This window comes from Homo sapiens, chromosome 7 (genome assembly GCF_000001405.40).
Source record: "Homo sapiens chromosome 7, GRCh38.p14 Primary Assembly".
Lineage (NCBI taxonomy): Eukaryota > Metazoa > Chordata > Mammalia > Primates > Hominidae > Homo > Homo sapiens.
In genome coordinates this window covers 127670818-127693977 of record NC_000007.14, presented here as the reverse complement: position 1 = coordinate 127693977, position 23160 = coordinate 127670818, and the positions used below count along the sequence as shown (strand labels likewise).

Genomic DNA, 23160 nt, shown 5'->3' with positions numbered 1-23160 from the left:
TCATCTCAAGATAATACACAAAGGGGTGGTTTTGCCCCTCCCCATCCTATCACTCCTGGGATGGTTCAGACAAAGGGAGATTCTCCTCTGAAGCCATTGGCACAGTGGCCACTGGCACTTGAACTTATAGTCTGGACCTGGTTTAATGTCCCAAGTTCCCTTAGTACCAAAATGGGGAGGGATGGGGTAGGTGTTCAAGGAGCGTATGATTAGTAGGAGCTCACATGCTGAAAAAAATGTGAAGTATAAAAGGGAAAAGTGATATACAATATGCATACATTGTCTATTATAATCTCTTCAAACCACAGAACTCATGCTACACACAGTAAAGGCAAAAGAGTAAACTGATGGCCTGAAAGGAAGCCTCTGTTAACCTTTTTGGTCCATGCTAATTATTCCATGAAGTCACCCAACAAGCTTTTCTAGAAGAAAAATATCCATATGACTTCTAAGAAACCAGAAACCAATCAAAAGGTGGCAGGTCCACCAAACTGTTGGGCTGGTAGTCATAAAAACAGTACTGTTACATAACATAAATCATGAGGTTCTAGAGAACTGATCCTCAGTAAGGGTTCTTAAAGATGCAAAAATGAACAGATACTTGCTCACATCATGCCCTCTCTTCAAAGCAGAGGCCAACCCAATTCACTCAATGACAATATCAAGTTCACCTTGATTTTATGTCTCATTTCTACCCCCCACCCCAATCTCCAAAAATAAAATCAGATACCAGTCACCAAAGAGTCTGATGATTGACAAATGATCCCAATTATCAACCACATCACAGAAACAGCACCGAACCAATGAACAAAGCGTCCCAAATTTTTATTACCTTAGGGATCAACTTACTCCAAAAACATACACAGCTACAGATAAGTTTAAGATGTAGTCCTGAGTATTAATATTTAAAATTCAGTAACATAGAGCTTTCCTAAATACTTGGAAAAGCTCTGATAAGACCAGTGCTCCTAAAAGAGGCCAAGACTTTGGTGAAAACACTTTTACAAAAGGTCAGTTCACAGGAAAATAACTAGCCCCTGCAGGGAAATCTCCAATTTCTACCAACCAGGCAGAACTTTTCTAAAAAACTTTTAAGGCTCGCTGAAGAAACATCTTCCCCTTAGGACCTCATGTTTTCCAGCTGGTTAGTTACCGGTCAATAAGAGAAAACCACACTGGAGGTCTTGCAAAGGACATATGCCTAACCGTGTAAGAAAAAATAACCTAGTTTCTGCAATCTTCCTTCCTAAATAAGCCTTCTCAAGTGTGTTCCGTCCAGAGTTGGGCAAATTCAATAACTGGACAAGATATTAGTTAAGAAGAGAGGCAATCAAGAGACTCAAAGAGCTATAGAGGAAAGCAACTGACCACATCACTCCTCTGAGGGCAAGAGAGTGCTCTGGGACAGAACCCTTATGGAAGTGAGGCCAGTGTTACCCATGTGTCCACACAAAGGACAGCCAGGCAGAGGACTATCTGATGGAGAAGTCTATCCTAACAGAAGCTTGCTCAAATAAGGAAATTTGCTCAAAGCATTTATTCAAATAAGGGCCAGAATGGTCTAACAGGAAGAATAACTGTGGTCTATTCAAATGATGCCCCAGAGTCCCATCTAAGAAGCAAGTGGCTTTTAAGAAGTTGAGACTCAAAATTACTCTTTCCTTTAGAATGCCCAACTGCAGGCAATCTGGCGGCCTGCTCAGAACTTCCAGACCCAAGAAAGGTTGTCATATCTACCACAATGAAACTGAGCTTTTAATTCTAATCTTCTCTTTGACCAGATAGACTCTTAAAACTACCAGGACAAGATGAAACCCCAGAATGTAAAACCTTAACTAGTTACTAGGTAAATGACCCAACATTCAATACTTTTTGTCCCTCTTTCTCTTCCAACCACCCCACCGTGCCATCTGGATATGTAACTGATAATCCTGCTCTGCCGTCTTTCCCCAGCTACCCCAGTCCTCAACAGCTCCAATGAATGCAGGATTGTGACATTCATTTCTTTTTTAAAATAATAGCAAAATATGGCCGGGCCTGTAATCCCAGCACTTTGGGAGGCTCACGGCTGTAATCCCAACACTTTGGGAGGCCAAGACTCTTGGCAGGTCACCTGAGGTCAGGTGTTCAGGACCAGCCTGGCCAACATGGTGAAACTCCATCTCTACTGAAAATACAAAAAAAAAAAAAAAAAAAAATTAGCCAGGCATGTTGGCGCACGCCTGCAATCCCAGCTACTTGGGAAGCTGAGACAGGAGAATTGCTTGAACCTGTGAGGTGGAGGTTGCAGTGAGCCAAGATTGCGCCACTGCACTCCAGCCCGGGCGACAAAGCGAGGCTCCATCTAAAAACAAACAAACAAAAACAGCAAAATATTTATTTTTTTATTTTTTACCTTCTTTTAGTTTGTTTTATTTAATTATTTATTTATTTTTGAGACGGAGTCTCGCTCTGTCGCCAGGCTGGAATGCAGTGGCATAATCTTGGTTCACTGCAACCTCCGCTTCCCGGGTTCAAGCAATTCTCCTGCCTCAGCCTCCCGAGTAGCCGGGACTACACGCACATGCCACCACGCCCGGTTAATTTTTTTTGTATTTTTAGTAGAGACAAGGTTTCACCATGTTGGCCAGGCTGGTCTCGAACTCCTGACCTCATGATCCGCCCGCCTCGGCCTCCCAAAGTGCTGGCATTACAGGCATAAGCCACTGCGCCCAGCCACTTTTATTATTTTTTAAAGATAGTATTTCTTAATTTTTTTTTTTATTTCAATAGGTTTTGGGGAATGGGTGGTGTTTAGTTAAATGAATAAGTTCTTTAGTGGTTGTGACACTCATTTCTATATTTCTCATGAAAACATAAACAACTTTACCCGCAGCAGGAGCTCAATAATTCTGTGGGAAATAAATATATAATTCCCACAGTGCCCATCAATGCAGTATCTAAGCTGCCTGGAGTAGCTAGGCAACGCTGGGGATTAGCTTGGAACAGTGAAGAGATGGCTGGGGGCATACAGTGGGGCTGCTTTCATTGCCACAGGACTTAAGAGACAGCTGAGTTTCTTTGAAAGACGATATCATGACAGAAGGCAAAGAATAATCATGTGAAGATATTTGGGACAGTGATACAAAGGGATGCAAATGAGCAATAAGGTCCTTGATTATTCCTGAATGTGAAAAAGCTAAACATGCTCCAAAGAAATAGAAAGCCAGAGAGAAAGCGTAGTGCCACATTGCACAATCTTTCAACCCCTAAAATGGAGACGCTCAGGTTCTTTTCCTCATTATTCATTTAAATGTTTATTCACTGCTTACCTGTATTGTGTCAGGTACTGACTAGGCACAAAGACACAGAGATGAGAGAAAGGCTCTCTTCTTTGGAGCTTGCAATCCAGTAGAGAAAGATATATAAACGTGTAAACATGCAATGAAATGTTGTGAATGCTATGACAGCACCAAGATGGGATGATGAAAGGAAATGTCAGGTGTGATTTCTTAAGTGGCTGAATCTTAAAAGACAGCAGGTGCTCACCAGCCACAGAGGTGGCGAAGGAACTACTGATGGAGGGGGCTGCATGAGCTGAGGGCAGAAGGCAGGACCCCAGCCTGTAGGAAGACTTAAGTTCTTCAGCATGGTGGGGGCTTGGCATCCCAGAGGGGTTTCAGTAAGAGAAGTCTAAAAGTCATATCACAAATGCGCTTGTAACCCAGGCTAAGGCATTTAGATTTGTCACAGAGGTAATGAGGAATTACTAAAGTGTCTTGGAATATGAGGAATCACTAAAGTGTCTTGGAATATGAGGAACCACTGAAGAGTCTGGGAAAAAATAAAATTATGTTTCAAAAAAATCTGAGAGCATATGGAGAAAGGATTAGAGGGAAGGAGAATGAGGGCAAAGAGACTATTATTTCAACATCTAAGCACTCTATCAGAGATGAACAAAGAATAGCAGTATTAATCAAATGTCAAGTATGGATAAGAGAGGTTTTAAGGAGGCAGAATCCCTAGGCCTTGTTAAAGGCCTGGATGTCAGCGTTGGGGTGGGGGGTGGGGGAGTCAAAATGAGAGCAGGGAAATCAGGTTTTTCAATCAATTGACATTACTGGTAACTTGTGTCGATGCAGCTTTGAGGGTACAATAGGAGGAAAACCAAATCACAGCAGGGTGAGGAGACATTGGATTATTAGGAAGGAGAAATGATGACTGTGGGCTAGGAAAAGATGAAATCTGCAGCTATCAAATATTTCATCTCACAGGGATCTCTGAAGAGTTACCAGGAGAAACAGTGAGACTGAGTTAGTCTGGGAGAGGCAAAAAGCACTAGACTGTATAAATATATGGAACTACACCAGAATGCTAGGATCAGATTACACAGTATCCTTTCACCTAGGATAGTTCTGGTAAGATTTCACCGTCCTGTTAACATGGGATACAGTTATGATATTTTAGAACAAGTTCCAACTGGCCTTGTATTTCTCTGCCCAAGATTCTCATCCACAAAACAGGAAATTAAAATCCAACCCTTCTTTCTTAGAGGCTACACTAGTTCTTCCTTCTGGGCAAATGAACTTGGTCAGCTCCAAGAAGGGTCAACACTCTTCATTTGGAAGCAATCAAGCTGTTACACAATAGGAAAAGAAACTATTCAAAATGTTGGTTCACCCATTTGTTAATGCCCAAAATGTGAAAAATGCTGAAAGATATTTAATCTTCAGTGGTTGATCTAACAGTACTAGGAGTATCTGTAGTAAGAGAAATTAGCAAGCAGTAGTAGTGATTACCACAACTAACATTTATTATTTTATAAGCATGCACTAAAGCACTTCATGTTATCTTGTTTAATCTTCATTAAACGACCCTGAGGTATATGCTAATATTCTCAATATGTGTGGTCCCTGATGGAGGACCAGTGAAAAAGAACTGATTTTAATCTACTTAAATTTATTTTAATCTATTTAGTCTGATTGCTGTTGGTAGTAGAATTATGGGAGTTTTTCTCTATCTCTATTATCTATACCATTGCTTCACTAACTTCTTAATTAAAATAAAATGTCCTTTATTATAATTTTAAAAACTAAATGCTTTACTTAAATATTAATAAAAGTTCCACATAAACTCTTGCTTTTTCTTCTTTACCTCCCTGGCAGGGAATAGCACACAAAAGCTGAGGTACCAACCTGCCCAACATGATAAAGTTGGGGCAAAGAACAAATAATTGGAATCCAGAAATTTTGCTTTTTTTTTTTTATTATTTTTTTTTAGACAGGGTCTTACACTGTCACCCAGGCTGCAGTGTAGTGGCACAATCATGATGCACTGCAGCCTTGAACTCCCAGGTTCAAGTGATCCTTCCACCTCTACCTCCCAAGTAGTTGAGACTACAGGCATGCACCACCATGCCTGGCTAATTTTTTCTTTTTTTTTTTTTTTTTGAGATGGGATCTTGCTATGTTGTCAGTTGTCAGGACTGGTCTTGAAGTCCTGGGCTCAAGCAATCATCCCCACTCAGCCTCCCAAAGTGCTTGGATTACAGGTATGAGCCACCATGGCCAGCCCAGAAATTTCATTTCTGACAGCCAAAGCACTGCTAAAGGACAGCAAAGCACTAATGTTTCAAAGTGTAGAAGCCAAAAAGACTAAACAATGCCAAATTGGTACACATAGCAGCTGCCCAAAGAGCAGAAACTTAAGGGGTCAAAGGCAGACCACAAAAGCAAGGGGGCTGGGCATTAGAGGCTGAGGGGTGTGAGGGAAGGATGGAGGAGATGATGGGACATAGGCACAGAAGGTTCTCAAATCACCATTAGGCACAGAAGGTTCTCAAATAACCATAAAACAATGGTTCTTAACTACTTTTGAGCCATAAGTTCCCTTAAGAAACTGATTTTTAAAACTCCCTCTCTAAAACAATTCACGTTTACACAAAATTTTGCAATTTCATGGGATTTATATATGCCTTCAGAGGTGCATGGATCCCAGATTAAGAATCTGGAATAGGCCAGGGGCAGTGGCTCACACCTGTAATCCCAGTACTTTAGGGCGAGGCAGAAAGATTGCTTGAATTCAGGAACTCAAGGCTGGGCAAACTAGCGAGACCTCCTTTCTACTAAAAAAAATAAAAATAAAAATTAGCCAGGTATGATAGCACATGCCTGTAGTTCCAGCTACTCCCAGGAGGCTGAGGTGGGAAGATCACTTGAGCCTGGGAGGTTGAGACTACAGTGAGCCATGATTACACCACTGCACTCCAGCCCGGGCAACAGAGACCTTGTCTCAAAACAAAACAAAAAAAATCAGTAATAAAGTATGGGCAGCCATAAAAAAATACTGAAATCACGTCCTTTGCAGCAACATGGATGGAGCTAGAGGCCAGCATCCTAAGTGAACTAACTCAGAAGCAGACAATCAAATATCACATGTTCTAACTTTTGTAAGTGGGAACTAAACAATGGGTACACATGGACATATAGATAGAAATAATAGACACTGGGGACTCCAAAAGGGGAGAAGGAGTGAGGGGGGTGAGAATTAAAAGATTATCTATTGGATACAATGTTCAATATTTTGGTGATGGATACACTAGAAGCCCAATCCCCAACATTACACAATATACCCGTGTAACAAACATGAAAATGTACCCTCTGAACCTTAAAGAAAAACAATCTTTAATAAAATAATAAAATATGGGCCTAGCATTTATAGCATGCTACGATTTATGAAAATGAGAGTGTCTGATCATACAGGTTTTAACTATCTCTGGAAGGAGACACAAGACCCTAGTAACCTCAGGTGTCTCAGGGGAAGTACTCGATTTTTCACTATATATCCTTCTGCATTCTGAACAATGTAAATGAATGAAGAATTCAAAAATAAATTAATAAAAGAGCTCTGCCATAACCAATGGTGATTTCAAATGCTTAAGGCTACCCAGGAAATGTTCCTAAACTATTCCAAGAAAAGTAGTAGTGAAAACACAACAAATCTAAGTCTATGGGAAAAGGTACAAGAAAAAGCTCTAAGACTTCAACTGCCACTAAAGGTAGTAAACATATAAACAACAGATACAAGCTGCTTGTGGGCACATCCAGAATCAGCAGTTCTATGATATAAAAATACTCAAAATACAAAGAAAGAGTACATCAAAATGGCATCAGCGACAGAAGACAGTGGGCTATTACCTAGGTCCACAGGCTCACGATGGCCTCAGGAAACACCTACCTCATCAGGGGTATCCTTTGCATCAGGTTGTGTGGCGGCTGCCCGGCGAGCAAGATTTCCAGCACGAATGTTGCTGAGGTTGATCTGCCGCTCAGGAGGAGGCCCACCACGAGGCTGACCTCGGACAATGATGGCGCACCCTGAGAGGACCTACGTAGGGGGAAGAAAGAGAAAATGAATGGTCCAGAGGCCGTATCACCATAATGCAGGTTGTGTACCACCGTATCCCCAACATTTCAAATAGCATTTGCACTTCAAAGGCATGCAAAGTCATCTGTTGAATGACTAAATAAACAGGATTGTTTTTAATTTTATAAGAGAAATACCTACATAAAGCCTGGGGCCAAATTCTGAAATGATTGACCCAGAAATCCAACAATAGAAAAGTCATAGAATAAACAGACTGGGGTAAAAAGGCATGTGAGACATACAGATTAATGACCTCTATAATTTCATCCTAGCAAGTACCACCCCTTGCATTCTTTCCAATTATTAAGAATTAATATCTCCATCAACACTTTCCATTCTCAGATTGAAGCGAACAATGAAAGGCTTAGGAAAAGGGGAAGCTGTGGCCATGCACAGTGGCTTACACCTGTAATCCCAGCACTTTGGGAGGCCAAGGCGGGTGGATCACCTGAGGTCAAGAGTTCGAGACCAGCCTGACCAACATGGAGAAACCCTGTATCTACTAAAAATACAAAATCAGCTAGGTGTGGTGGCGCATGCCTGTAGTTCCTGCTACTTAGGAGGCTGAGGCAGGAGAATCGCTTGAACCCGGGAGGCGGAGGTTGCGGTGAGCCAAGATCGCGCCATTGCATTCCAGTCTGGGCAACAAAAGTGAAACTCTGCTCAAACAAAAAAAGAAAAAAAAGGAGAAGCTGAGGGAAGTCCCTACACACCCCTGGGAGGAAATGAGCATGCCCAAGGCTAAGGTGGATGCAATACCTAGAGTGTCCCTTGTGGACAGTACAAGAGAGAAATACAGAAGTAATCTAGAAAACCCATGCCCTACATGATTAAAACGTAAGAATCTAATAAACACCTTAAGGCTCCCAAGTGCAGTCAGTGGCTCCTTTCATCTCTCTAATCAAAGATGCCAGGCATAGAACCCACTTGCAACTGTGAAAAGAGCTCTAAAGCTCACTGGCATTAACCTTAAAGTATTTGCAGGGGAGAAGAAGAAAGGATTTCAAGTGAAAGAAGGGAAGAAGACACATAAGGGAAAAACGACCCAAGCTATTCAAATTGTCTTTGCGAAGAGACTCACAATACAACAAACAGGTGGGGGCTCATGCCCTGGCTTCACTAGATCTGAAAGACTCTCAATTCCACGCTTCATAAAAAATAGCTTCGAAAGGTTAGTAGTGAGAAGGTTGGAGGGTTCTGTCAACACAGAACACTGTTTAGACAAGACCATGGAGTTCTCAGTAAAGGAATAATCCTTGTGAGGAAGTTGAATCAAAGGAAGAGAAAAAGGAGAATGAAAGGAAGCTGCTCCTTTCACTTAGAGTGCATTGCTCTCCACCTCTCTACCTTAACTAACGCTTTCAAGTGTTAAATATTGATATAAATACACAAATGAATTTAAACCCACATGTACAAATTAAAGAATAAGAAAAGTAAAACATCTGAGCAACCACCACCCAAGTTAAGAACTGAAATACTGCACATTGCCAGAACCTTGGAATCCATGTGCCCCTCTCTACTTGCAGCCCCTTCTCTCAAACCCCACCATTACCCTGACCAAGGATTTTGTACGAATATATCACAATTCATTTATCCATACTAACTTTTTATGGAAATTCTATCAAACAATATTGTACATTCCAATATACAATATTTAATTGTACATTCCAATATACAATATTTAATTGTACATTAAATTAGTACTCTGATAATGTCTCAATATCCCCAACACCTTAAGCACACAGACCCTGGCCTAAGTCACTTTAATCCCTGGTTATATACCATGGCACACACACACAAAAAGACTGTCTTCCTAATCCAGTTACAGGCACGCTTTTCGTTTTTATCCTGTTATCAGCAATTAAACCCTAAAACTTCTAGCCAAATAACCATGCTAACACCCTATCCTGAGAATTCATGTCCTAGGCATTATCCCAGGGAACTGACATTCCAAAAGATAAGCTCTCAAACCAAACAAAGCCAGGAAAGAACAGGTATACTAGAGTAGAGGCTGCTTGAAGTTCCTGAATAAGAAGGGCCAAAGAAGAAAAGGAGAGCTTCCTGACTCATTTATATTCAATTCTTTCTCACAAGTGGTAGAAACAAAACACACAGCAAGAAGAGCATAGTGCAGAATACCTGCACTTGAAATCATTCAAGCACAAATTCCAAATGAGGCTGAGGACAGCCAAACTACATACAGCACACAAACCAGAACATCTGTTTCTAGTGCTTGCTGCTCAATTTTGGTCAAGTTTTCACACACAAAAAAAGTAATAACGCATTCCCAGGGGACCTCTTGGTAAAGCCCAGTCATAAAAGCTAAGGCCTATTTACAAGAAAACTCATCCTCTCTGACGAAGGTGAACTCTGATAAGCAAGCATTGACCTAGCCTAGGAAACCATCTTTGTTTCTCAAGCCTGACAAATCAAACTGAGAAGCTCAAGAACAGAGGGACTGATGAGAAGAGCCCCTCATCTCTAAATATCAGAAAGGTATTGCCTCTCTAATGCCTCTGCCTAGTAAACCGGATCCCTGGGGACAATGGATCTACAACTATTATCCTGGCCCCATTAATGGCTTTGGCAAACAACTTGTACACAGTAATTGTGCAAAACTCCTTTGTATGCCCTCTCCTCTCCCTGAATGCTAAAGGCTGCTGTCAGAACTTCCTTGCATTGTTGCACCAAAAATGCCATTCAGTTAATGCTTGAATCAATGTTACGGAGATGATTTTTACTCTACAGGCTCTCTACACCTTTTATACCATTGAATATATGAATTCAAGCAGCTGTCACCAATTCAACTTCCTAAGCAAAAGAAATAGATTCACTGTGGCAGGTACTGCTATTCCTACTCCTCCAGGAGGAGAGGATTGGCATGTGTGCACCCTTCTTCTGAAACTCTCTTCCCCTCATTTGGCTATTGCCTTGGTGGAAAGGTAAGAAAAGACTGACTGTACACAGTTATGGAAGTAAGAGAACTATTTCTACTAGGGAAGAACTAGTTTCCCTCCTACCACTCACAGAAACTGAAATCATTCAAAACACACTACAGGCTGGGTGCAATGGCTCAAGCTTGTAATCTCAGCACTTTGGGAGGACGAGGCGAGAGGGCTGCTTGAACTTAGAAGTTCAAAACCAGCCTGGACAACACAGCAAGACCTCATCTCTACTAAAAATCAAAAAAAGTAGCTGGGTGTGGTGGTGCACATCAGTAGTCCCAGCTACTTGGGAGGCTGAGGTAGGAGAACCGCTTGAGCCTGGGAGGTCAAGGTTGCAGTGAGCCATGGTTGTGCCACTGCACTCCAGCCAGGGTGACAGAGCAAGACTCTCTCTCAAAAAAACAAAGAAACAAACAGAAACACACTACACCTCCTTTTTGCTATTTCCACTTCATCTGCCAACCACTGTTAAACTCTCCCACCTGTCTTACTCGCCAACAGTCTTTATTCAAGTTCTTCCTCAATGAAAACATTGTAATGGCCTTCTTATAGCTAACAGTCGCCACCAAATAAAACCAATGAGAAATACCTTCTGGGGGAAAAATACTTTAAATGTCTGGGTAAAATATGAAAAAGGCCAAGGGTCTATATGCTCAACAATTTATATGTCATATGGCACCAAAACAAGCCGTTTTTCTTCTCAGAAAGACCTGCCAGGTTGATTATTGTTATAATTTTATTCCTTGATTTATTCAGTTATTAATTCACTACAAACTTACTGAGTGCCTACTATGTGCCAGGCATTGTTCTAGGCAAGTGGCATGTTTCAGTGAAACAAAGCAGACAAAAATTTCTGCTCTTGGGGAGCTGACATTCTAGTAGGGGGAGACAGACAAACAATAAACATCACATGTAAGTATAATATGTTGTTTACCAGAATTTTAATTTCAGGAGAATAATGTTAAGATTGAGAAGAAACTGTCATAGGTAATTAGTCTGCCAAAGCTGTGCTGATTCATGTTGCAAACTTTCATGGATGCAGTAATTATCCTTAATTGCTAATTTATAGAGCACAGAAATCAAGTCAAATGGTTACTGCTTTATGCAATTATATTAATAAACTGACATTCTAGAAAAATGATCTTAGAACTACCTGATACAGCAGGAGGTTTGTGAAACCAGGTGTCACAATAAGTCAGTTTGATTGAGGTTATGGATTAGACATTTCTCAGTTCTGCCAATAAAGGTTGCAGAGGGACGTGGTGTGATTCAAAGGACCTGGCTTCAGGGCACAAGTCACGTGGTTACAAAGGCTGAAACAAGGCAGCTGAGAAGGAAAATTGGGGACTCAAATTGTTCAAACCCACTTATGGGTTTACTGGGAGATTTACCTACAGTGAAACACTGTATGGGCAGCCACTAAAATGTTGCCCAGCAACAGGAACACCACATTAAATCTTCACTAGATTCTGATAAATGACTTGGTTTGTTTAACTATTTAACTCCTGGGCCAATGACACAACAAGACAGAAAACTTCTTATACAAAAACCCAGCCATACTAAGGGCAAAGAAAAGGATGGTACAGAAATTTGTATGTCAATGAAGCCAATATTTTTTCCCAGCCCAAGAGCAAAAATCACTTTGGTCTGAGAATGGCATCTTACTAGCTCTGCAAAGAGGACTGGTTTAACGGGCATATCCACTAGTTAAGATAGTATAGTAGGTATACTGTAACAGCAATATCTACCTGTGTGAAGAACCAACATAAAGAACAAGGGCAGACATCTGATGACAAATATTACAAAAAGAAGGCCCAATACAAATCCATACATTTATGGCCCACTGACTTTGAACAAGGGTGCCAGGATAATTTGATGGGGAAAGAGTAGTCCTTTCAACAAAAATGTGTTGGGACAACTAGATCTCCATGTGCAAAAGAATGAAGTTGGCCCTCTACGTCATACCATATACAAAAGATAACTCAAAAAGGACCAGAGACCTAAATTTAAGAGTAAAACTATAAAAGTCTTAGAAGAAAACAAACCTGTAAATCTACATGGCCTTGCATTAGGTGATGGTTTCTTAGGTGACACCAAAAACACAAGCAACTTAAAAATAAATAAATAAATTGGACTTCATAAAAATTAAAAACAGTGTGCTTCAATGGACACTATCAAGAAAGAAAAAAATATGAGTATATGCAAATTCTGAATACTAGACTCTTATCTCATATATCTGACAAGGGTCTAGTATCCAGAATAAAGAACTATCATAATTTGATAAGAAGACAATAGCCCAATTAAAGTAAGTTGAAGAGACATTTATCCAAAAAATAAATATAAATGTCCAAAAAGCACATGAAAAGATGCTCTTCATCATTAGTCATCAGACAAATGCAAATCAAAGCTACAATGACATATCACTTTACCACCACTAGGATAGCTAAAATCAATAAGACAGGCAATAACAAGTGTTGACAAGGATGTGTAAAAACTGGACCCCTCATACATTATGGGTGGTGTAGCTGCTTTGGAAAAGAGTCTGGAGGTTTCTCAAAAGTTAAACAGTTATCATATGACCCTGTGATTTCACTCCTAGGTGTATATGTTGCGGGAAGTCAGGCACCCCGAACGGAGGGACCAGCTGAAGCCATGGCAGAAGAACGTGGATTGTGAAGATTTCATGGACATTTATTAGTTCCCAAATTAATACTTTTATAATTTCTTATGCCTGTCTTTACTGCAATCTCTAAACATAAATTGTGAAGATTCCATGAACACTTATCAATTCCCCAATCAATACCCTTGTGATTTCCTATGCCTGTCTTTACTTTAATCTCTTAATCCTGTCATCTCGTAAGCCGAGGAGGATGTATGTCGCCTCAGAACCCTGTGATGATTGCGTTAACTGTACAAACTGTAGAGCGTGTGTGTTTGAACAATATGAAATCTGGGCACCTTGAAAAAAGAACAGGATAACAGCAACGTTCAGGGAACAAGAGAGAGAACCTTAAACTCTGACCGCCGGTGAGCCGGGCGGAACAGAGCCATATTTCTCTTCTTTCAAAAGTAAATAGGAGAAATATCGCTGAATTCTTTTTCTCAGCAAGGAACATCCCTGAGAAAGAGAATGTGCCCCTGAGGGTGGGCATCTAAAATGGCCCCCTTGGGTATGGCCGTTTTCTACGGTCGAGACTGTAGGGATGAAATAAGCCCCAGTCTCCCATAGCGCTCCCAGGCTTATTAGGACGAGGAAATTCCCACCTAATAAATTTTGGTCAGACCAGTTGCTCTCAAACCCTGTCTCCATATGTTATCAATGACAATGGTGCCTGAAACTTCATTAGCAATTTTAATTTCGCCCCAGTCCTGTGGTCCTGTGATCTCGCCCTGCCTCCATTTGCCTTGTGATAGTCTATTACCTTGTGAAGTACGTGATCTCTGTGACCCACACCCTATTTGTACACTCCCTCCCCTTTTGAAAATCCCTAATAAAAACTTGCTGGTTTTACGGCTCAGGGGGCATCACGGAACCTACCGACATGTGACGTCTCCCCCGGATGCCCAGCTTTAAAATTTCTCTCTTTTGTACTCTGTCCCTTTATTTCTCAAACCAGCCGACGCTTAGGGAAAATAGAAAAGAACCTACGTGACTATCAGGGGCAGGTTCCCCGATAGTATATATCCAAGAGAAATACAAACATATGCCCACACAGAAACTTGTACACCAATGCTCATTGCAACATCATTCATAATAGCCAAAAAAAGAGAGAAAACAATAAATGTTCATCAACAGCTGTAACTGGTGATAAAATATTGTATATCCATACAATTGGAATATAATTCAGAAATAAAAAGAGATTGCGTACTGATTGATGTTACAACATGGGTGAGCCTTGAAAACATTATGTTAAGTAAAAGAAGCCAGACACAAATGGCCACATACTGAACTGTTCCCATTATATGAAATGTGCAGAAAAGGGAAATCCATAGACAGAACATAGACTAGTGGTTCCCAGGGACTGACAGAAGGGGAGAGTGGGGAATATACTAATGGATACAGATTTCTTTGGAGGTGATGAAAATATTCCAAATTAGTAGTGATTGTTACATGATTGTAGTAAAAAGCCACTGAATTATATACTTTAAAAGTGTCAACTTTATGGTATGTTAATTATATCTAAAAAAAAAATTTTAAGGTCCAACACAGAAGTACAAAAACATGGGGACATAAAATGTATATTTTACTATAGAGCCTTCCATATTCTTGCAGGAAGATTAGATGCTAGCTGAAAAACATTAACAAAAAAATTTTTTTAAATGGCAGCTGCCTGAGAAGCAAAAGTCAGGCATGGTGACTCACCCCAGAAGCGGCTATAAGTATAAACCTTCAAATCCTCTAGAAATAACTAGGTAGGAAGCCACAGGAAAAAGACAGAACTTCAGTGAAATCTACAAAGCTCTAAAAAGGATGAAAATGGCCAGAAGCAATACAAGCTTTTTCTCAGAAACAATATAGCGAGCATCCTGTGTGTCACACAGAAAGGAGAACCAGGAAAGTCATTGAGCTGAAGGGTCCATGATGCCATTCTTCAACTGTCACAACCCAAAGGCTGCACATGCAGGGACTCTACGTCAGAGTGGCAAAGAAGCAGGCCAGGGACTCCCCTCTGGACAAGGTGTTTTCTACACCTAAAAATACCATCAGGGGATGGGGAAGGAGCTACTGTAAAAAGAGGAGGCAAAGTTTGGTCCTAATGGATACCCTTTAATGAAATGAAAACATTTAAAGAAACTGAATGAAAGCAAGAGTAACTAAAAAGAAACTCAATTGGGGAATATTTCAAAATGCATATCAGGAAAAAGCTTCCTGGCAGTCAGAGCTGTTGCCTCCACAGGAAGAATCATCTCTTGAAAATTAAAAAGTCATTTAGACAAAGCAAGCAATCCCAAAACAACATAAGCTGTGTGGTCTGGGAGGCCTTTCTCTGAATACTCACCAACACAGCCAGTTTTTTGTTTGTTTTGTGTGTGTGTGCGTATGTGTTTTTGTATTGCTTTTTGGTTTTTTTCCTGGCAAGAACAAGAGGCAAACCTAAATTAGAGGGCCCAACATTCAAACCCAATGAACCGGAAGCCCAGGAGCTCATGGCAGTGCTGACTCACTGGCTCTGGATACACTTGCAGACCCAACAGGTACAAGCACAAGTTGCTGCTCCCGAGCCAACTGTGCCAAAAATCGGGCCGCAGTTTACATATACGGAGTTTAAATCTCAGGAGGACCATAACAATCATCTACAGAGAGACTTCACATAAAGACAGCATCTAATCTGGGCTATTTTATTTTACAGCTGAGAAATCTGAGAGCAAGAGAGGTAAAGTAACTTTTGCCTAAAATAACCAGGATTGACAGCAGAGCAAGGATTGGGGTTGAAGTTTCCCAATCCTGATATTCCACTATGCCACACATACAAACAAGCATTTGGGAGCTGATTTCTGTTAAAATGGTATCTGAGGTTACCTACTGATTAAATCTTTTTCTCAATTAAAATCTCTGTTTATATGTGCCAGTAGAACAGGTGTTGGAGACCAAATCACTAAGCAAGTAAAGCTTCCATGAGCTGGCTGTCCCAAATCATACCAACATTTATTAAACCGTACCATCTGCAAGGCAAGCTGACTTAGAGTCCAATATTACAAAAGAACACCCAAAAAGTAGATGCAAAGAAGAAAACTTCAAAACGATAAAATGCAGGATTGGCGAACTACAGCCTACTAGCCAAATCCAGCCTACTGCCTGTTTTTGTACAGACCATGAGCTAAAAATGGTTTTTACATTTTTAAAAGGTTGGAAAAACATCAAAAGAAGATTATGTAACATGCAAAAGAGTATGAAAGTCAAATTTCAGTGTCCATAAATAAAGTTTTATTGGAACACGTCAAGCTCATTCATTTATGTATTGTCTAGGGCTGCTTTTGCACTAGAACAGCAGAGTTGAGTAGTTGCGACAGAGACCATATGGCTGGCAAAGCCTAAAATATTTATTACCTGGCCCTTTACAGAGTAAGTTTGCCAACCCCTGATATAAAGCATTATGACAAGCGAGTGAGATGAAAACTAGTTTTATGGTCGTCTAAATAGCAAGTGCATGGCAAAAATAAATTCTGGACCAATTCAAGTTACACAAACTGCTCGTTTTTATAATCAGAGAAGGAGCTGCAGTATATGGCAATAAGAATTTAGTTTCAGAATCAAATCAATGTCAGCAGTGACCTTTGAAAGTTATTTAATTGGCTCCATTAGCCTCCATTTCATCATTTATAAAATAAATACATAAGAATATATATAAGTTGTTATGATCCAGTTTGTCAATCTGTTGCTGAAATAAAAATAAAATAAAGAGTTGTTATGAAACCTAAACAAAATAAAAGCACTTAGCACAGAGCCCAGCACAAGGACACAATAAATATAGCCAACATTGTTGTTACAAGAAATGGCTCAAAGTGTGGTCTGCTATAAAGACTGGAAGAGTATGTACAATAGAAAAAGATGGACATTCCTCTAGGGATATAGAAGAAAACATCATGGTCAGGCACAGTGGCTCACGCCTGTAATCCCAACACTTTGGGAGGCCAAGGCGGGTGGATCACCTGAGGTCAGGAGTTCGAGACCAGCCTGGCCAAGAAGGTGAAACCCCATCTCTACTAAAAATACAAAAATTAGCTGGACACGGTGGTAGGTGCTTGTAATCCCAGCTACTTGGGAGGCTGAGGCAGGAGAATCGCTTGAACCCAGGAGGCGGAGGTTGCAGTGAGCCGAGATCAGGCCATTGCACTTCAGGCTGGGCAACAAGAGTGAAACTGCGTATCAAAAATAAAGAAATAAAGAAAATATCAAAGTCACAGAAATTCTCTCACCACTGAATTCTGTCAGATTTAGACTGATAACCTGTAATCTCTAATTCCCTTGATTTATCAGTTAAGATACCCACTCACTAGGAAAGTAGATTTAAGTACCTATGTCCAAATCTCTATCCTCTGGGGTGAAAGTAGTAAGTATCATCTCTTAAGTTTGTATTGAACTTCATACTTGACAAACTGTCTTGGCAATCATAGCCTCAGATGGTGTGGCTAACGGAACAACCATGAGCTCTGAAATTATACAGCCTTGAGTTTGAACGCAAACTCAAGTGAAAATCATTCTGAACACTGTGATATTCCTTCATCTATAAGTAAAGATAATACCACTATCTCCTCTGGGTTATTTGTATTATTACATAAGATCCTTGACTCCCTGAAACCAAGAAGGTAACTCAATAAATGTTAAAGGAACATTAATCTCTCTTCCCTTCCTTCCCTGCTCTCCTCCCCTCCTCATCCTCACAACAATGCCCTGAGGAAGCAGGACAGGGACCCTTATCCTCATTTTGCAGATGAGAAAACTATGGCACAGTCAGATGGCATGAGGGCTAGAACACAGGTTTTCCCAGTGTACTTGCTAATAAACCCCAAATACTAAATCTATGATATGAGAATCATGAGCCAAAATATCGATGACTTACATAAAAGAACACAATCAAGACTGTAGCTTAGACTTCACAATCGAAAACTTTACCATGAAGGAACTCACTCAACCTCCTGGAAACCAGGGTCAGGACTGTCTCCAGGACAATGGTCCTCTGCAAAGCCAAGTCCTCACTACCTCACGCTGAGCTCTGCTGTTGCCAAGGACCTGGGAGATCAAGGCTTATTTATGCAGAAATAAGACAGAACAACTCAGGAAGAACTAACCGCACATAGCAGACAAATGTGAAGTGTCATTTAAGAGAAATCTAGCCCAGCTGTCGAAAGAAAATCTTTCAGGATAGGTAACAGTTATGTGTTAACTTATCAGAGGAGGAACCAAAAATTAACTGACTCCAGGACATAAAAAAGAGTATCACTATATAGAGGGGACCTTCTCCTCTATCAAATGGCGAGGGTCAAGTACTCAGGCTATTAAAGGTAAGGGAAAGTTACTGCAGTGATCAGTGTTCATTTTTCTCTTCCCATGTTCCCCTTCAGAAAGGAACATTTCTGAATTTTCTTAAGTGTTGCAATCTGAGAAAACAAAGCATAAAGACAGACTAGAGCACCAAACCACTCAATAAGATTAACTACTACATATTATTTTCTTGAATAACGATACTAACAGGTCAGAGAAAACAGAATTTCTGGAGCATGCATCTAAACGTATACAGCAAAAATCAAGAAGTTTGATTCTGAACAGCCACTGAGAATTTAGGTCTAACAGTTATCACAACTCATAAATATAACATTCTGATGGGAAAAAGGAATCAAACATATACTATTGGGGTAAATGTATAAACCTCTAGTGAAGAAACATGTTTTAATAAGGAAAAAAAATGAAGGGTTTTTTTGTTTTTTTGAGATGGAGTCTCACTCTGTTGCCCAGGCTGCAGTGCAATGGCACAATCTCGGCTCACTGCAATCTCCACCTTCCAGGCCCAAGCGATTCTCATGCCTCACCCTCCCAAGTGGCTAGGACCACAGGCGTGTGCCACCAAGTGCAGCTAATTTTTGTATTTTTAATAGAAATGGGATTTCACTATGTTGGCCAGACTGGTCTCAAACTCCTGACCTCAGGTGATCTGCCTGCCTTGGCCTCCCAAAGTGCTGGGATTAAGGCATGAGCCACTGCACCCGGCCAAAATAAAGTGTTTGTTTTAAACACTAAATACATCACAGAAAAACTGGAGATCATTTTTAAAAGTACTTTATTTCAATTCCAGACAAATACGAAAAGCACATTAAATTTGGAGGAAAAAAATAAACCCAGCTCAAGCCTTCCAAGAAGTTTAAAAGGAAGCTGGAAATATTTCAAAGAAAAAAATGCCTAAAAGCAAAGCATTTTTTTTCTCCAAAAACAAAAGAGATGCTAATTTTCTGCTATGATGCTAGGCAGTCCTTATTTTAAGGGTGACTAATCCTATGGCTAAATCACTTTAAGCTACCAACAGGTCAAAAAAGCTATAAACACTCCCCTTGGTCAGCGCAAGCTGGCAGGGTACTAGGACCTGAAGATTAAACCAGCATTTGCTGGCAGGTCACAGAAAGCTGAAGACTCAGTGTGAGCAGATTTGTTACCTACAGGGGAACTGAGCAAATCATACCTGGAGGATAATGAGAGCTAGGTTTCTCAGAGGAGAGTTACAGATACAGAAAGTCCAGAAAAAAAAATCCTGTTGGATTAGAAGTAAACCCTTGTTTTTTAATATATACAGATAAATATAAAAATAGAGAGATACATGTGTGTTGTTTATATATACAAATATTTCCTGACTCCATCCACTAAAGAAGAGGGCCCAAAAACTATGATACCCTAGTAGCAATGGGCACACCTAGTACCCAGATCTTGGCTAAACATTCCTGTTTCTTGGACGGAATGCAGAAATGCAAGTGGGGACGGAAGGAGGGAGGAGGGCAGGAAGGGAGGGAGGAAGGCAGGAAAGGAGAGAGCAAGGCAGGAAGGGAGAGAGGAAGGCAGGAAGACAGGAAGACAGAGACAGGGAGACAGGGAGGCAGGCAGGGAGGGAGGGAGGAGAAGGAAGGAGAAGGAAGGAAAAGGAAAGGGAAGGAAAGGGAAGGAAGGAAAACTCTTCTCTGCTAAATAGAACCAAGGCTTCTTGAAGAAACAGCTGATTCCAGGGTTGCGGCAGGGAAAGTACAATATGAGCCTGGAATACCTTGCTGTGTCAGAAGAAAGTACTCAAATAATGGGGACATAACAAAACGACATAAGAACCAGCTTACAAGAGCTCTCATTAGCCAAAACTGGGACAACTTTAAAATCAACATAATAGTAATAGATTATAATCCACTGAATAAATACATGAATAAAAAATGTGGAAGAGAAAGTTCTCTATTACAGTTGAAAAACAACTAATAAATGTTGGATGATGGAATTAGAAAATAATTGTGTGCCAACAAATCACACTAACAAGAATCATTAATAGAGGCCGGGCACAGTGGCTCACGCCTGTAATCCCAGGACTTTGGGAGGCTGAGGTGGGCCCATCACCTGAGGTCAGGAGCTGGAGATCAGCCTGGCCAACATGGCAAAACCCCGTCTCTACTAAAAATACAAAAATTAGCTGGGCATGGTGACATGTGTCTGTAGTCCCAGCTACTCGAGAGGCTAAGGCAGGAGAATTGCTTAAACCCAGGAGGCAAAGGCTGCAGTGAGCTGAGATCACATCACTGTAAGCCAGCCTGGGCGACAGAGCGAGACTCCATCTCAAAAAAATAAATAAATAAGATATTTGTACAATCTCAAAATAGCTTCTCACAAAGTACTAGTTACATATTATAATACTATATAATATAGTTATATATCATATATAACATTACATGATATCTATTATATATCATATATTATAATATATAGTATATGTTTATATATGATATATATTATATATCATATATCATATATAATAGAATATATAGTTTAGCTATCTCCTACCGAAGGATATATATTACTAAATAATGAACAGGTTAAAATATGTATTACTTATTACATAAAATACTTATTATATAAGATACTTATACCTAAAATTACACTGAGGAAACCTGACAGACACCATCTTAATCAAGTAATTACAGTTATCAACACTAGTAATGTGACAGTGACATGGTGTGCCTCACTGATATGGTGCACTGAGGAGAACTTAGCATCATTTATGTGGTATTTCTGCCAAAATTACAGTCTTAAATTCAATCATAAGGAAGCAACAGACAAACTCATGACAAGGCACATTCTATAAAGTAACTCTTGGAAAAAACATCAGGATCATGAAAATCAAGGAAAGACTGAGGAATTATTTCTGAATGAAGGAAACTAGAGACATGACAGCTAATAGGTGACCCTGGGGCAACTGGCAAAATCTGAAGGGAGTTTGCCGGTTGGATGGCAGTATTGTATCCATGTTAATTTCTTTTTCTTTCTTTTTTTTTTTTGAGATGGAGTTTTGCTCTGTCGCCCAGGCTGGAGTGCAGTGGTGCGATCTCGGCTCACTGCAACCTCTGCCTCCTGGGTTCAAGCAATTCTCCGGTCTCAGCCCCCCGAGTAGTAGCTGGGACTACAGGCACATGCCACCATGCTCAGCTAATTTTTGTATTTTTAGTAGAGACAGGATTTCGCCATGTTGAACAGGTTGGTCTCGAACTCCTGACCTCAAGTAATCTGCCTGCCTCCTGCCTCAGCCTCCCTAAGTGCTAGGATTACAGGCATGAGCCACTGCACCTGCCATAACCATGTTAATTTCTGATCTTGATGGTTTTATTGTGTTCCTATAGATGGATATCCCCGGTTTTAAGACAATAGTTAGAAGTATTAAAGTATGAAAGGGATATGGTATATGGGATACCGTATCTGCAGATTACTCTCAAATAATTCAGAAAAAAAAAATACGGAAGATCCTCACTGTTCAGATTCTGAATTTTCAAATTTGCCTACTCACTATAATATATTTGTAACCCCCAAATCAATACTCTCAGCACTGTTACTGTTATTTACAGGCATGTACACGCACAAAGTGGCAAAACTTTGAGTTGCCTATGTCCTCGTTCCCAGCAGGGAAATGCTCTGCCTTCTTGTTTCAGCTTTCACTCAGTAAACAAGTGTTCTTTATGTGGTCTATTTAATGCCACATTTTTTACATTTTAGTGCTACTGTTTATTTCACTGTTTAAAATAGCCCCAAATGGTAGTTCTGACTTGCTGTCTAGTATTCCTAGCACAAGAAAGCTGCTATGATGTACTTTACAGAGAAAACAGATATGTGACAGATAAACTTCATTCAGTCATGAGTTATAGTGCTATTGGCTTTGAGTTCAAAGTTAAAGAATCAAAAATATATATCAAATAAAGTGTCTTTAAACAGAAGTACACAAATAGCCAAGCACAGTGGTACCTGCAAATAGTTTCAGCTACTCGGGAGGCTGAGGCAGGAGAATCACTTGAAGCCAAGAGTTCAAGGCTATAGTGTACTATGATGACTCAGCCTGTGAAGAGCCACTGCACTCCAGCCCGGGCAACATAGCAAGACTCCATCTCCAAACAAACAAACAAATAAACCAGGAGCGTGCGCATAGAACAAGGTCAGGTATTGATCAGTTGATGAAAATGTGACCAGAAGTTTGAAGGGACCTAACCATCAGTACTCAATAGATTCACAGTGTTTGCAACTTTATAGAACATAACTACTGTGAATGAATAATGATTGGATGTAATAAATATAGAGAGGATGATAAGGCAGTTAGGGACTCTTGGTAAAGGGGATACAGGAGTTATCTCTATTATTCTAACTTTTCTCAAAGTTTGAAATTATTTCACAATAAGAAGTTTTTTAAAACACCTTTCAAGATGCTAAACATACTAAAGGCTGTTGTAGAGCATCAGTGATAGACAAATCACTGGAACTAGGTCTCGTTGGTGGTTCTGAAACTTTGTCTCTCCCTAGCCCAGTCCTCCCTCTCTCCATGCACATGCAACTTCTAAGAATTTGAATATCAAACTATTATTATGTTGCATGGACCATACATCTTTCTGTGTGATCCATGCACTGTTTCATTATCTTTTCCAAATGAAATAAAATGGTAGACGCTTTCAAATCACAGAATTCAAACTTTCTGAGTGTGCTGTTCAAAAAGACTACTGCTCCAAAAAAGATCTTGGGTTTTAAAGATATCCCTTTTCCTTCCTATGCCAATTATCTCATGGTTTTTTTTTTTTTTAATTGCATATAAACGTG

The 23160-nt window shown here is 40.2% G+C and overlaps 1 protein-coding gene across 2 annotated transcripts in view, besides 1 other annotated feature; it reads right to left on the bottom strand.

Annotated features, from left to right (window-relative positions):
• Positions 1 to 23160, bottom strand: part of SND1 (staphylococcal nuclease and tudor domain containing 1) — a 440400-nt gene that overhangs the window by 398616 nt on the left and 18624 nt on the right. For both annotated transcript variants that reach the window (NM_014390.4, XM_017011987.3), the window contains exon 2: positions 7216 to 7365. In NM_014390.4, the coding sequence (NP_055205.2) occupies positions 7216 to 7365 (150 nt within the window). The remainder of the gene's footprint in view (positions 1 to 7215; positions 7366 to 23160) is intronic.
• Positions 14728 to 14817: an enhancer, noted in NCBI's record as "active region_26589". NCBI's record gives its function as "activates an Ori minimal core promoter by ATAC-STARR-seq in GM12878 lymphoblastoid cells {active_cell/tissue: GM12878}" and the evidence as "EXISTENCE:reporter gene assay evidence [ECO:0000049][PMID:35858748]".